General features: G+C 43.6%; 1 protein-coding gene across 4 annotated transcripts in view; it reads left to right on the top strand.

Moving 5' to 3' along the window:
• MUC16 (mucin 16, cell surface associated) overlaps nucleotides 1-16,563 on the top strand; it is a gene marked incomplete in the record, with an annotated part of 216,908 nt that overhangs the window by 131,387 nt on the left and 68,958 nt on the right. For 3 of the 4 annotated variants that reach the window (NM_001414686.1, NM_001401501.2, NM_001414687.1), the window contains 6 exon segments: nucleotides 1,580-1,615; nucleotides 1,851-1,916; nucleotides 6,626-6,661; nucleotides 6,905-6,964; nucleotides 11,304-11,431; nucleotides 11,743-11,810. In NM_001414686.1, the coding sequence (NP_001401615.1) occupies nucleotides 1,580-1,615; nucleotides 1,851-1,916; nucleotides 6,626-6,661; nucleotides 6,905-6,964; nucleotides 11,304-11,431; nucleotides 11,743-11,810 (394 nt within the window). 4 annotated transcript variants of the gene reach the window in all.

Raw genomic sequence — 16,563 nt, 5'->3', positions numbered from 1 at the left:
TAGAGTCTCCCTCTGGCACCCAGGCTGGAGTGCAGTGGTACGGTCTTGGCTCACTGCAGCCTCCACCTCCCAGACTGAAGCGATTCTCCTGCCTCAGCCTCCCGAATAGCTGGGACTACAGGCGCGTGCCACCACGCCCAGCTAATTTTTGCATTTTTAGTAGAGATGGGATTTCACTATGTTGGCCAGGCTGGTCTCAAACTCCTGATCTCAAGTGATCCGCCCAAGGGCCTCCCAAAGTACTGGGATTACAGGTAGGAGCCACCTCACCTGGCCCTATTTTCGGAATGGATTTTTTTTTAATGTTTAAAATGTCACCTAAGATTATTGTGAAGATCAAATAAGATAAAATCCTAATAACCCAAGTAAACCACAGGGCTCCACTTGGACCAGTCTCAGAAGTTTCAAGAAAATCAGTCAGACCATCAAATGTAAAATAAGTCTAAATTTTCTTTGCACTATTCACAGAGTGCCAAAGAGGATCTAATTCATGTTTCAGAACATACCCTACTTACTAAAATCCCCTTTTCCTCATTTCTTCTCATTCTGCAACTTTATCATCTCCTGCGGACCCCCTAGCCTCTCCCCTCCCCATAGTCAGTCTCTCTCTCTCTCTTTCCCTCCCCTCTTATTATCTCAATTTCACACGAAAGAATTCCAGAAACTATACTGCCAAAAGTCTTTCCTGTCTTTGAAAAGTTGGGAAAGAGGAGAAACTCAGACAGCAATGACAAAATTATACGTAATGGATGAAGGAAACACAAATAAGGCTGGAAACAGAAAATTTTGTCCCCATCATTTATTTAATGAAGGTGGCAGTATTCCAGCCACATAGTGAACCCCCACAATAAGAAGGGGCCTCTGGCGATTGATTATTGTCATTGTTGTTAATGATAATGAGGGTGAGGATATCATGAGCATCAGTGTAGGAGGCAGTTAACTAATAAGACCAAGCTGTTGGCTGGGCGTGCTGGTTCACACCTGCAGTCCCAGCACTTTGGGAGGCCAAAGTGGGTGGATCACTTGAGGTCAGGAGTTCAAGACTAGCCTGGCCAACATGGTGAAACCTGGTCTCTACCAAAAATACAAAAATTAGTCAGGTGTGGTGGCGTGTGCCTGTAATGACAACTACTTGGGAGGCTGAGGCAGGAGAATCACTTGAACCTGGGAGGCGGAGGCTGCAGTGAGATGAGCTTGAACCACTGCACTCCAGCCCGGGCAACAGAGAGAGACTCTTGTCTCAAAAAACAAAACAAACAAACAAAAACTAAACCAAACAAAAAAAGACTAGCTGTTATTCATTTATTTATTTATTTATTTAGAGACGGAGTCTCGCTCTGTCACCCAGGCTGGAGTGCAGCGGCACAATCTTGGCTCACTGCAACCTCTGCCTCCCAGGTTCATGTGATTCTCCCGCCTCAGCCTCCCCAGCTGTTGTTATTCATGAATGAACCTCAGAGAAAGCACACAGGAGGGTTGGTGCACCTGTGTTTTGAGTTCTACCCCTCCTTCCTCTCTTAACTTCCTCCTGTCTTCTCACTCTGATTCGTTCTTCCTTCCTCTCCCTCTCTCTCTGCAGGTTATAACCATCGGTCCTGGATCTCCACCACCAGCAGTGAGTAAACATGGCCCTGAAGTCCCTATGCCCTGGGAATTCTTCCTCCCTAAGCCTGCCTTCCAGGAGGAAAGTATCCCCCATTCCCTAGGTTCTCATCCCCACAGAAACTCCAGAATAGCAAAAGTCTCAGGCTGAGCCAAGGCACAGATGCCAGTGCTCACCAAGAGTCCTATTCTCCCCTCGCTAAATGATAGGACCCAACAAACCCGATTCACGCTGCGTTTTCTTTCAGCTCCGATGACCTCCATGTTCTCTCCAAGGCCTCTCGTATCTGTGAGCCCCACCCCCAGCGCTACAGGTAGGAATCTGGCTTCCAGCTCCCATGAAACGTCGGCTGCCATTCAGTGGCTGATTAATTGCTGTGTGGTCTGAGTCCTGATGCCCACCAAGTCTCAGCGTGTTCCCCTCTGTCCAATCTCATCCAACAATTTAAGCTAATGCTTGTTTAATGATGTCCTCACTATACCACCTTGGACACTTTCTTTTTGCCTGGATTTAAAGCTTCCATTTCTTTCCTTCCTTCCTTCTTTTCTTCCTTCCTTCCTTCCTTCCTTCCTTCCTTCCTTCCTTCCTTCCTTCCTTCCTTCCTTCCTCCTTCCTTCCTTCCTTTCTTCCTTTCTTCCTGTCTTTTTCTTTCTTTCCTTCTTTTGGCAGAGTCTCACTCTGTCGCCCAGGCTGGAGTGCAATGGTGCAATCTCGGTTCACTGCAACCTCTGCCTCCCAGGTTCAAGCGATTCTCATGCCACATGCCACTATGCCTGGCTAATTTTTGTTTTTTTGTTTTTTGGGGGGTTTTTTGAGACAGAGTCTCAGTCTGTTGCCCAAGCTGGAGTGCAGTGGCATGATCTCGGGTCACTGCAACCTCCTTCTCCCAGGTTCAAGCGATTTTCCTGCCTCAGCCTCCTGAGTAGCTGGAACTACAGGCACGCACCATCACACCGGCTAATTTTTTGTGTTTTTAGTAGAGACGACGGTTTTGCAATGTGGGCCAGGCTTGTCTCGAACTCCTGACCTCAAGTGATCCTCCAGCCTCGGCCTCTCAAAGTGCTGGGATTACAAGTGTGAGCCACTGCACCAGGCCAAAAACTTGTATTTCAATAGTCATTGAGGCTGGGTGCAGTGGCTCACGCCTGTAATCCCAGCACTTTGGGAGGCTGAGGCCAGTGGATCATGAGGTCAGGAGATCAAGACCACCCTGGCTAACACAGTGAAACCCCATCTCTACTAAAAATACACAAAAAAATTAGCCGGGCATGGTGGCAGATGCCTGTAGTCCCAGCTACTCAGGAGGCTGAGGCAGGAGAATGGCGTGAACCTGGGAGGCAGAGCTTGCAGTGAGCGGAGATCGCACCGCTGCACTCCAGCCTGGGCAACAGAGAGCGACTCTGTCTCAAAAAAAAAAATATATATATATATATATATATATTCATTGAGACCGACTCTGACTTAAAAGCAGTAATGAATGGTGTAGGTTTTGGTAAATTACAGGTCTTGCTTTAAGTCCTGGTCCTCTCTTTTGCTCACTGTGTGGCCCCGGAAGAGCCATGTAACCTCTCCAGGCTTCAGTGTCCATTTTTAGAACGGAGTAAGTGAATAAGCTGTGTCCAATCATCTCTGGCCATATCAGCTTCATTTTTTTTTTCCTCCAGGGTCCAAACATCCCTCCACCCTCAGAGTCTTTGCACCTGGTGTTCTTGTCCTTCAAATCTCAGCTTGGATCACCCTTTATAAAGTAGCATTTCCCCCGTATACGCATCTTGCACACAGCCAATCTCTATTCTACCTCTATGCTCACTTCCTTCCTGGCAATTATTACTACAGCTGGGCCCTTGAACAGCATGAGGGTTCAGGGTGCTGACCCCTATGCATTCAAAAATCCACATATAACTTTTTTTTTTTTGAGATGGAGTTTCACACTTGTTGCCCAGGCTGGAGTGCAGTGGCGCCATCTTGGCTCACTGCAAACTCTGCCTCCTGGGTTCAAGTGATTCTCCTGCCTCAGCCTCCTGAGTAGCTGGGATTACAGGCATGTGCCACCATGCCCAGCTAATTTTGTATTTTTAGTAGAGATGAGGTTTCTCCATGTTCGCCAGGCTGCTCTTGAACTCCTGACTTCAGGTGATCCGCCTGCCTTGGCCTCCCAAAGTGCTGGGATTACAGGCATGAGCCATGATGCCCGGCCATTTGCTAATGGCATCTAGTAAGTAGAGGCCAGAGATGTTGCAAAACATCCAACAATGCACAAAGCAGCCTCCTATCAAAACACATTATCCAGACCAAAATGTCAATAGGGCTGAGGTTGAGCATCTGCTGTACACAGATTCCAAGTTCTGGTACAAATCTCGTAGTTCTCTGAGGGCTCATCTTTCAATGCCTAGCACATCAAAGGAGGCCAATTTCCTCTTCCCTTTCACCTCCTGGTATGAAATGTTTCCTCCTCCACCTTGATCCTGTAAGAGCCCAGCTGGAGTTTGCAGACGACGGGGAAAGAAATGGGTGAGGGAGGGTCCTATGGTTGAGTCTCCGCAGTGGGCCCTGGGTGCCCAGTTCACCCTCCTCCCCTTCATTTTCTCCATCATGACAACTCAAGGCAAATTCTCAGTTTCCATGGGCCAGTGGAATCCACTGACTTCATGAAATAACCCCACCCTGAGCAAATACCCCTCAAATAATAACTGTTTACACAACATCAGTGGCAACAATGACCCAAGCAGCAATGCCACCACCAGAATAGCAACCATAACAGCAGCTCATTTTCATCAAAAGGAAACTGTAGGGCCAGGCACAGTGGCTCACACCTATATTCCCAGCATTTTGGGAGGCTGAGGCAGGCAGATCACCTGAGGTCAGGAGTTCAAGACCAGCCCAGCCAACATGGTGAAACCCCATCTCTACTAAAAATACAAAAACTAGCCAGGCTTGGTGGCATGTGCCTGTAATCCTAGCTACTCGGGAGGCTGAGGCAGGAGAATTGCTTGAACCTGGGAGGCAGAGGTTGCAGTGAGCTGAGATTGTGCCACTGCACTCCAGCCTGGGCGACAGAGCAAGACTCCGTCTGAAAAAAAAAAAAAAAGGAATTGTGCCAGGAATTGTGATGAGAACTTTATATGCATTATCTCCTATTAATATTACCCAAACCTCCGTGAGTTACTATACTCATTTCTACAGAGAGCATTTATGCATCCAGGGAGGAAGTAATTAGCCCAGAATTACTCAGTTATGACACAGGACAGTATGAAAACTCCAACCGAAGATTGGAGACTCATGAAAACTCCAGGCTCCTAACTACAAGACATCACTGTGGATCGTCCAAATAGAGCAAGCCCCAATCTCAGGACAGGAATGAGGCATGAATGGCCTCTATGCTAATGATCTAACCTAATGCTGAATTTGTTACTTCCCTTCTGAATCCACTTGGAGATTTCCTTTATATCTGACTTGAAATAGAGGATATATACTCCTCTATCCTTGACATAGGAGATAATACACAGAAAGTATTTCATTGTAGTATCAAGTACACATCCTGTTCTGTGTCCATAGGATTATGACTAATTTAGGGCATGGCTTAACAGTGTGGTACTATTGAATGACAGACAGATGTCTGTTTTGTTGGATGCAGGACAAGCCATGTAACCTCCCCAGACTTTAGTGTCCCCTCTGTGGAATGGAATAAAAATACTACGTGGGATTGTTCTGATAATCAAATGAGATAATTCAGGAACAACCCAGATAAATAACAGGGCTGCCCTGGGTTCTGTCTTTCCTTGTATCTCTCACAGAGCCTCAAAGGAGATGCAATCCATGACCTAGAGAAACACTCAGGACAAATTCTCTTTTCCCCAGTTCCTTTCTTGCTCCAATGGCAACACCACCCCTCTCATCCTGAAGTCTCTTGTTTTTACCACCACACCTATTTTGCCAAATTTTCTCCAATATTCCAAACCATATGAAACCTTTCTTTCTTTCTTTTCTTTCCTTCCTTTCCTTCTTTCTTTCTTTTTTCTCTTCTTTTCTTTTCTTTTTGAGACATGGTCTCACTCTGTTGCACAGGCTGGAGTGCAATGGCACGATCTTTGCTCACTGCAACCTCCGCCTCCCAGGTTCAAGAGATTCTCTTGCCTCAGCCTCCTGAGTAGCTGGGATTACAGGCGCCCACCGCCACGCCACGCTAATTTTTGTGTTCTTAGTGGAGACGGGGTTTCGCCATGTTGGCCAGGCTGGTCTTGAACTCCTGACCTCAAGTGATTTGCCCATCTCGGTCTCCCAAAGTGCTAGGATTACAGGCGTGAGCCACCAAGCCCGGCCCCATATGAACCGTTTCTATCCCTCATTTCTCTGTACTTTTACCTAAAAACACCACTCCCTTCACCCATCACATTTTTGTCAATTCTACATCACACACACACACACACACACACACACACACACAGAGAAAGTAAGTTGGAAAAAAATTATACTATCATGAAATTTTGTGAAAGGAGGTAAGCTGAGAGAGTAAGAATCAAACTAAATTATCTTTATGGGTAGAAAGCACACTCATCCATACATGTGTCTTTCCACCCTTGTAATGTATTTATTATTATTGTTTGTATATACTAGATTCCCAATAAATAGGGACAGCTATTATGGTATTTTTATTTCAGGAATAATAATAGTGATGATTTCCACCATTATTGTCAAAGGACAAAGCACAAAATATGTACCAAATAAAATATAGCCATTATCCTTTATTCACAAAAGATCTTGGCCCCACCTCTTCTCAATGAAATGTCCATGACTTGTTCAACTTTGGCCACTCTGGGCTGAGAGATGGAGGTTCCCTTGCGAGCTGAAGTCACACATCGAAGGTGGAAGCCCCTCCCCTCCCTCTGGCTGGCTGAGGGATAGCCCAGATGGGCTCATCATGAAAGTTTCCCATTATTTCCATTTCTGGATCTACCATCTTCCCCTCCCCTACCTCTCACCCATCATAATTGTCCTTCTTTACTCTTTCCTCCCTATCTGCAGGTTATAACCGTCGGTACTGGACCCCTGCCACCAGCAGTGAGTATTCAAACCTGTGATATTCCAATGCCCTTGGGACCCTTCCTCCCCAAGGTGCATTCCTCAGAAGAGAAACTGATCATTCTCCCTCCCTACGTGCCCAGCCACAGCCTCAGAGCAGCCCCTAACCCGTCAAGGTCTTGGTGTGAGTCAAGATAGAAGTCCAAATTCCAATGAGCAGTTCCTGTCCCATATTCCTTTAGGAAGACACCCAATCATTTCTCCATGTTCTTTTTTTCTCAGCTCCAGTGACTTCTACATTCTCCCCAGGGATTTCCACATCCTCCATCCCCAGCTCCACAGGTAGGAAGCTCCTCTCTGGCATCTATGAAATTTAACACTGCATGGTCTGTTCCCTGCTGACCACCCAGACTCAGCCTGTTCCACTCGCCCTCTCACTCTCTCTCTCTCTCTTTTTTTTTTTTTTTTTTTTTTTTTTTTACGGAGTCTTGCTCTGTCACCCAGGCTGGAGTGGAATGGTGTGATCTCGGCTCACTGCAACCTTCGCCTCCCAGGTTCACGTGATTCTCCTGCCTCAGCCTCCGGAGTAGCTGGGATTACAGGTGCACACCACCATGCCTGGCTAATTTTTTGTATTTTTAGTAGAGACGGGGTTTCACCATGTTGGCCAGGCTGGTCTTGAACTCCTGACCTCAAGTGATCTACCCACCTTGGCCTCCCAAAGTGCTGGGATTATAGGCATGAGCCACCACGCCAGGCCCACTCTCTAAATTTTGACCACCCTGCCTTGAGTGGTCTTCTAGCACCCTAACCTCTGTCTAACCTCGAGAGCTTTGCACTAGCGATTCCTGGGGACCAGCTATGGTTGGTATCTTCTCAACTTTCTAATTTTTTTAAAATTATTATTATTATTATTATTATTTTAAATGGAGTCTCGCTCTGTCACCCAGGCTGGAGTGCAGTGGCACCATCTCGGCTCATTGCAACCTCTACCTCCCGGGTTCATGCAATTTTCCTGCCTCAGCCAGAAATTTTCTCAGTGGTCGAGATTGTGCCACTGCACTCCAGCCTGGGCAATGGAGCTAGGCTCCATCTCAAAAAAAAAAAAAAAAAGACGGAGGTCGGGCATTCCTAACCCTTAACCCTGCCTTGTGATTCTGGAGTTATGAGATAGAACCTGGTGTCCCGTAATTAAAATTCCGCCTTCAGGCCTTATGTTTTGTGAGTCACAACACTGCAAACTTTTTACATGCTGTAGACAGGATGTTCACTCTCCACTTCCTCACTGCTCTGCTCTAATCAATTCAACCATTTATGTGACATGCCTAACCCCTCTGGGCTTGTACGTATGTAACATGTATTACAAAGCAAGTCATTCCATGATCAATGCTGTCACTTTTTCTAGGTGCTTTCAAAATTTGTTCTTCATCATTGATTTTCAGTAGTTTGATTACGATGTGTCTGGGCATGGTTTTCTTTGAGTTTATCCTGCTTAAAGTGTTCTCAGCTTCTTGAGTCTCAAAGTGTTTATTTTCTGCTCTGATTCTTTCTCCCCTTCGGACCTCCAATGAAATGATGTTGCCCGAAGAGACCCTGAGGTTCTGTTCATTTTGTTATTTATCAATCTTTTTTCCTCTCCGAATTTCAGGTTTAATAATTTTTTTTTTTTTTTTGAGACGGAGTCTCGCTCTGTCGCCCAGGCTGGAGTGCAGTGGCGCGATCTCGGCTCACCGCAAGCTCCGCCCCCTGGGTTCACGCCATTCTCCTGCCTCAGCCTCCGGAGTAGCTGGGATTACAGGCACCCGCCACCATGCCCGGCTAATTTTTTGTATTTTTTAGTAGAGACGGGGTTTCACCGTATTAGCCAGGATGGTCTCAATCTCCTGACCTCGTGATCCGCCCGCCTCAGCCTCCTAAAGAGCTGGGATTACAGGCGTGAGCCACTGCGCCCGGCCCAGGTTTAATAATTTTTATAGAATATTTTCACAATCACCAAGCCTTTTCTCTACCAGCTCCATTCTGCCCATCCATTGAATTCTTTTTATCTCAGTTACTTTATGTTTCAGTTCGAAAGTTTCTACTTGGTTAGATAGATAGATGTTATATCATATATTATATGTTATATAAAAATATATTTATGGTTATACATATAACATATATGTTATATATAGTTATTTATATAGCCATAACTATATATAGCCATATATATAGTTATATATAACCATATATATAGTTACCATATAGTAACCACATATATAAAACATATATATATAGTGTCTCTCTATATATAGTTATATATATAGTTTCTATATCTGTAACTATATATAGTTATATATGTATGTTTCTCTGTATATAAATATATATATTTCTATATATATAGTTATACACATTATATATATAACTGGGAGATGTTGGTAAAGGATGGCGTGAGGAAACCTGGAGCAGTCATGGTAATCCTCGCTCTGCTCCGAACTCCTCAAGAGCAGGAGAAGGGTCCTCCTCATTCTCCAGCCATGTTGACTTTGAGCAATTTACTCATCCTCTCAGTACCTCAGTTTCCTCACCTGCCAATTGAGGATAATAATATTTCATAAATTGTTTGCAAATGTTATATGCAACTCTACGTAAGAACACCTAGCACAGGGGCTACCAGGGAATTTGGTTTAACAAATATTTATCAGGCACCTATTCTGGGCTGGGCAGGGGGGATAAGATGTTGACTAAGTCAAATGCAGTCCCTCCCCTCACCAAGTTTACAGTGTATTGGGCAAGACTGAAATGGAACAAGCAATTACAATTGACAATAAAAGACAACCAAGTTATTGAGCACTTACTATATGGCATGCCATATGCTATGTATTTTTTTTATTTTTAACTTTTCATTTTGAAATAAATAATAAATATAAAGTAAATAATAATATAAATAAATAATAAATAACTTTTCATTTTGAAATAAATAATAAATAAATTCAGGAGATGTTGCGAAAATAGTGTAGCATTCCCCTGTATCCTTCACCCAGTTTCTCCCCAATGGCTACATCTTACATAACTCTAATACAATATCAAAAGCAGGAAACTGACATTGTTAAAATCCATTTTACTGGTTTTACACGCGTGTGTGCATATGTGAGCTTGTGTATGTGCGTGTGTGTGCAGGCATGTGTGTGCATGCACGCCTGTGTGTGCATATGTGCATGTGTGCATGCGTGTGTGCATGTGTGCATGTGTGTGTGCATGCGTGCGTGCGTGCGTGCATCTGTGTGCATGTATGCACATGTGTGTGTGTCTGTGCACGTGTGTGCATGCATGTGTGTGTGCGTGTGTGTTGGTAGCCCTATGCAATTTTTATCACATGGGCATAGCCCTATAATCACCACCACCATCAAGATTCAGAACTGTTCCATTCCCCCAAAGATTCCCCTCATGCTAGCCTTCGTAATCATGCCCACTGAGCCCAACACTATTGCATAGAATAGCTATTCTACTCTCCATCTCCATCTCTGTCTCTACAATTTTCTTTTGAAGATGTTATATAAATGGAAATGTACAACATGTCACCTTTGAAATTGGCTTCTTTTCCACTCAGTGTAATGCCCTGGAGATGTGCTCTTTTTAACAGTCATGTAACCTTCCTAATTTCCCTCCAAAATATCATTATGCCCCTCGCCGCCTTTTTTTTTTTTTTTTTTTTTTGAGACAGAGTCTCGCTCTGTTGCCCAGGCTGGAGTGCAGTGGTATAATCTCAGCTCACTGCAGCCTCCGTCTCCCGGGTTCAAGGGATTCCCCTGCCTCAGCCTCCCAAGTAGCCAGGATTACAAGTGCATGCCACCACGCCTGGCTAATTTTTGTATTTTTAGTCGAGACGGGGTTTCATTGTGTTGGCCAGGCTGGTCTCGAATTCCTGACCTCAAGTGATCTGCCCGCCTTGGCCTCCCAAAGTGCTGGGATTACAGGTGTGAGCCACCGCGCCCGACCCATATTGCCCATTGTATTACAGCGGAAGAAACTGAGGTATGGACAGGTAACATGTCCATGGTCACTTGGCTGGTGAGGGGCAGAGAGGAGATTTGAAACCAAATCTGACTCACTAGTGTGGCCGTAACCATGGTAACTATGTCTCTCTACCATGTGGTCTCCTCTTTATTAAAGGAAGGGCAAGTTCTGGGAGTTTTGGGAGTTTTGGGCTTGAGTGGGGAAGGGTAGCCAAGTAAAGCAGGTGAGAGAAGGTCTGCTTTAAGGACTGCTGTTTGATTTTTATTGTTGTTGTTCAGTGTTCAATGGGATTGAGTTGACTCTTTTTTCCCTTCTTGTTCCCCAAAGCATGAGACTGTTCCGGTCCTTTTCCCTTTTAACTTCTCAGCTAGAGTTTGTTAGGGCGGGTATGGGCACCTGGCAGAGTCTGAGACCTCAGCTTCCAGTAGGCACACGTTCTGACCCAATACACCTACCCTGGTCCCCTAACCTGCTTCTGGTCCCCTAACCTGCTTCTGGGCCCAGGTAATGCATTTTAGGAACATCCCACTTTTCTCCTTACCTGGCTTTCCATTATCCGTCCAAACTAAAGCACCCACCTGTCTGCTTCAGACTCTTGCTTCAAGCACTCCGTCTGGGTCCTCAGAAATTGACTTACAGTCAGTTCAGATCTGACTCAGGCGTGGCCTTCTTTTCTCCTTCCTTGCAGCAGCCACAGTCCCATTCATGGTGCCATTCACCCTCAACTTCACCATCACCAACCTGCAGTACGAGGAGGACATGCGGCACCCTGGTTCCAGGAAGTTCAACGCCACAGAGAGAGAACTGCAGGGTCTGGTGAGAGCCCCGCCCACCGTACTCCTCCCTCGCCCACTTAGACAAACCAGCCCACCTCACACTGCCTCGCCCACTGATGCCAGCCACGCCCACCTCATCCAACCCCAGACACCTTTCCCTGCCCCACCCACTGATTTTAGCCAAGCCCACCTCACCCCACCCAGCCTACTGATGCCAGCCACGCCCACCTTTCCCTGCCCCGCCCACTGATTTCAGCCACGCCCACCTCACCCTGGTCCACCCCTCCAATGCCCCACTCTTCCTGGCTTCCCGCAGCTGTTGTTTCTCACCTCCCCTCTCCTTCCTTGCAGCTCAAACCCTTGTTCAGGAATAGCAGTCTGGAATACCTCTATTCAGGCTGCAGACTAGCCTCACTCAGGTGAGACGCTCCTTAAGAAAAACACAGCCCAACAGGTGAATATGACCCTAGTCTCTGGGCTCCCTGACTCTGTTCATACTTGGAACAACTATTGCCCATGGATACTAAGCATCACCACCAGCAGCAGCAGATAACTATTCCTAAGACCCAAGGCACTGCATTATGTACTTTATATTTAATGCCTCATCAGTGCTTGCAACAGCCTCATGAAGCAGGAGCAGAAGGGGAAACTGAGGCCCAGATTAAGTGGCTTGTGCCAGGACACACAAAGCAACTGCAGCACTTCAGGTTCTATATCCAAACTCCTATCCCTTAGGTGGCACTTCCTCCTCTGCCCCCATTATGAACTTGCAGCATGTGGAAAACCCCAATCTGACTTCCCTCTAAGGGAACTTGCCCAGAGAATCTAAGAGGGGAGGAAAGGAAGGCGTTCAGCCCTTACAGGCAGGAGGTCAGCTCCTGAGTGGCTCAGATGCAGCCACAGAGGGCCTGGCCGGTCTGAGGGTGACTGAGAGGCACCGAGGGCACTGTCCCTGAGTGCTGGAAAGGGCAGGTCTTTTAGGGTAGACAGCGGTTGATATCATTTCCTGCCTGGCATTCTCACCTTCCACACCTCTCTCACAGAATCTCCAAGTGTGGCTCTCCCAAGAGAGAGTGTCAGTCATCTACCTCCAGCTTCCTTTCCTTCCCAGGGGGAAGAGGGGACAGGGGGGCCCTAGTGGCTAAGAGCATTGGTGAACTCAGGCAGACCTCAGTTCTGAACCAACCCAGCTCTGCCATTTACTATCTGTGACTCTGAGCAAGTGCCTGAAGCCTTCTGTGCCCTATTTCCTGACATATTATATATATAAAATACATATATTATATATAGACATATTTTATATACATATTGAGGCATATTTTATAAACATGTTTATAGACACATTTTTATATGCATATGTTATATACGTATATAACATATGTTATATATAATGTATATATTATACATATTGTTATATTGTATACATGTTATATATGTTATAGCATATATAGTACAAGTTATATATAACACATACATTATGTTACATATAATGTATATGTTATATATGATATATTATATATAATTATATATTATATAAAACTGTTATATATAATTATATATAATATATAGTTGTTATATATAATTATATAATTGTTATATATTATATACAACATATAACATACATTATATATTGTTATATATAATATAATATATACATATATAACATATGTATAACTTTTATGTTATACATAATGTATATAACATATATGTGTATGTGTGATGTACATAACATATCTGACATTAACATATAACATATGATATAACAATATTATATGTTATAACATAATATATGTTATAATATAACAATATTATATGTTATAACTTATACTGTCATATGTAACATATACATAATATTTTATAAATCAGTTTAATATACATTATGTTACATATAATGTATGTTATATATGATATATTATATATAATTATATTATACATAATTGTTATATATAATGCATACATTGTATTTGTTACGTATTATATGCAACATATAACATATACATTATGTATTGTTATATATAATGTAATATATACATACATAACATATGTATAACTTATATGTTATATATAATGTATATAACATATATGTGTATGTGATGTATATAACATATCTGACATTAACATATAACATATGTTATAATATGACATATTATATATATTACATATAACGTATATCATGTATAATATAATGTGTATATATAATATATTAAAGTATATAAGTATAAATACATGTAATATTTAAATATATATTATATATAGTATACATGTGGATACATACAACTTCTACATATACCTAGTATATATTCTATATATAAACAGTCCATGAATTACAATGATTCAACTTATGATTTTTCAAACTTTGTGATAATGCCATAGCAATATGCATTCAGTAGAAAGCATACCTTCAACACCCATGCAACCATTCTGTCATTCACTTTCAGTACAATATTCAATAAATTATATGAGATATTCAACAGTTTATTATAAAATAGGCTTTGTGTTAGGTGATTTTGCCCACATGTAGGCTAATGTAAGGGTTCAGAGCATGTTTAAGGTAGGATAGGCTAACCTATCATGTTCTGTAGGTTAGGTATAGTCGATTTTTATTTTTATTTTTATTTTTGAGACAGAGTCTTGCTCTGTCACCCAGACTGGAATGCACTGGTGCGATCATAGCTCACTGCAGCCTTGAACTCCTGGGCTCAAGTGATCCTCCTACCTCAGCCTCCTGAGTAGCTGGGACTACAGGTGTGTGCCACCACACCTGGCTATTTTTTTTTTAATTTTTTTTTTTTTGTGGAGAGGAGGGTCTTGCCATGTTGCCCAGGTGGCCTTGAACTCCTGGGCTCAAGGAATCCTCCCACCTTGGCCTCCCAAAATCCTGGGATTACAGGTGTGAGCCATCACGCCCGGCTACAGGGCATTTTTGACTTATGACATTTTCAGTTCACAATGGATTTGTCAGGGCTGGGCATGATGGCTCACACCTGTCATCCCAGCACTTTGGGAGGCTGAGGCAGGTGGATCACTTGAGGCCAGGAGTTTGAGACCAGGCTGTCCAAATGGCAAAATCTTGTCTCTACTAAAAATACAAAAATTAGCCAGGCGTGGTGTGACAACTGTAGTTCCAGCTACTCGGGAGACTGAAGCGTGAGAATCACTTGAACTTAGGAGATGGAAGTTACAGTGAGTCAAGATCACACCACCGCACTCCAGCCTGGATGACAGAGCAAGACTCTTGTCTCCAAAAAACAAAAAACAGGCTGGGTGCATGGCTCATGCCTGTAATCCCAGCAGTTTGGGAAGCTGAGGCAGGTTTATCACCTGAGGTCAGTAGTTCACGATCAGCTTGGCAAACATGGAGAAAACCCATCTCTACTAAAAATACAAAAATTAGCTGGATGTGGTGGTGGGTACCTGTAGTCCCAGCTACTCGGGAGGCTGAGGCAGGAGAATGGATTGAACCTGGGAGGCAGAGGTTGCAGTGAGCCAAGATCACACCATTGAACTCCAGCCTGGGCAACAGAGTGAGACTCCATCTCCAAAAACAAAAGAAAGCAAAAACAAAAAAATAAAATAAAAAACCTGTGTTTATCAGGACATAATACCATCATGAGTCAAGAAGCATCTAAATGTACATGGTAGTTATATAAAAATAGTTATATAGTTATATACAATAGTTATATATAAACCAGTTTAATATATGTTAAGTAGAGGTATATGGTAGTTATATAAAAAATAGTTATATAATAGTTATAGAGTTATATAATTATATAAAATAGTTATATATAAACCAGTTTAATATATGTTAGGTAGAGGTATAATAATATATATTGTATATACTATATAATATAGTAATGTATAAAATGCAAAACGATATCATATATTTCTATATTAAGTTTATATTTACAGATCTACATTTTATATATTTTATGTTATATACAATTGTGTTATACATAATATAATTAGTATAGTACTGACTTGGGGAATTGAGCAGTACCAACCCATAGGGATGTTTGAGGATGAAAATATGTGATTATGAATACAAAATGCTGGGCCTGCTGCATAGGAAGTATTTAATAAATGGTAGTTGTTACTATAAAGTCGTTCCTACTATAGAGCTACTCACAACCCTGGGACATAGGGAAAGAGCCCGTTTCCCTCTAATCACTCAATAGTGGGTGGCTAGGTAGGTGAGTCCACATCCTGTGGCCGGGAACAGGTGCTGAGACATGAAGACCTTCTGACTGCATGTTGGACCAGCCACAGTTTCAGACGGACCAGCCAAAAAGGGCATTTTCCCCAAGCCATTTAGCTCCCTTGAGTCTCATAACAAATCTCCTAGCCCTGCTGGTCCATAGGATCTAGAGAGGATGACTTGAACCTTCTGATCCCACCATTTGAAAACGCCATGCCATGGGCACCAGTAGGAGGGCCACTGCTACGTGCACCAGTACAAGGGCCACTGCCATGGATTACAGATTAACCCTAAGTATAGCTGTCGCACACCTAGTACTTCAGGAGGCTTATTCGGGGCCATGCAGATCCCTGGCATTATTATCCTAGGATCCTACACCAAGCAAAGCAGGAGCTGCCCCTCCTCATAAACCCATAAGCCCTCCTCTTGAGCAAAGCAGCTGGGAAGGCCAGAAGTTATTCAAGCTCCCCTCTGCCCCGGTTCCAAAGACAGACAGCTCAAGCCTACATGCAGCAAACCCTATAAAAGTGTCACCTCTTGGCATTTCTGCCATGGTAATGCTTTCTGCTTCCACTAATAATCCTAGTAATTTGTTTATGGTGGGCATCTCTCTGATGAGAACCACATTCTTTTTTTTTTTTTTTTTTTTTTTTGAGATAGAGTCTCACTCTGTTGCCCAGACTGGAGTGCAGTGGCGCGATCTCGGCTCACTGTAACCTTTGGCTCCTAGGTTCAAGCAATTCTCCTGCCTCAGCCTCCCAAGTAGCTGGGACTGCAGGCACGTACCACCATGCCCAGCTAATTTTTGTATTTTTAGTTGAGACGGGGTTTCACCATGTTAGCCAGGATGGTCTCAATCTCTTGACCTCATGATCCACCTGCCTTGGCCTCCCAAAGTGTTGGGATTACAGGCATGAGCCACCATGCCTAGCCTGAGAGCCACATTCTTGTTAACCACAATTTTCTCAGAGTCTGCA

This window comes from Homo sapiens, chromosome 19 (genome assembly GCF_000001405.40).
Source record: "Homo sapiens chromosome 19, GRCh38.p14 Primary Assembly".
NCBI classification, from domain to species: Eukaryota; Metazoa; Chordata; class Mammalia; order Primates; family Hominidae; genus Homo; species Homo sapiens.
The sequence above is the reverse complement of the archived record's forward strand: the minus strand, read 5'-3'. Positions and strand labels throughout refer to the sequence as shown.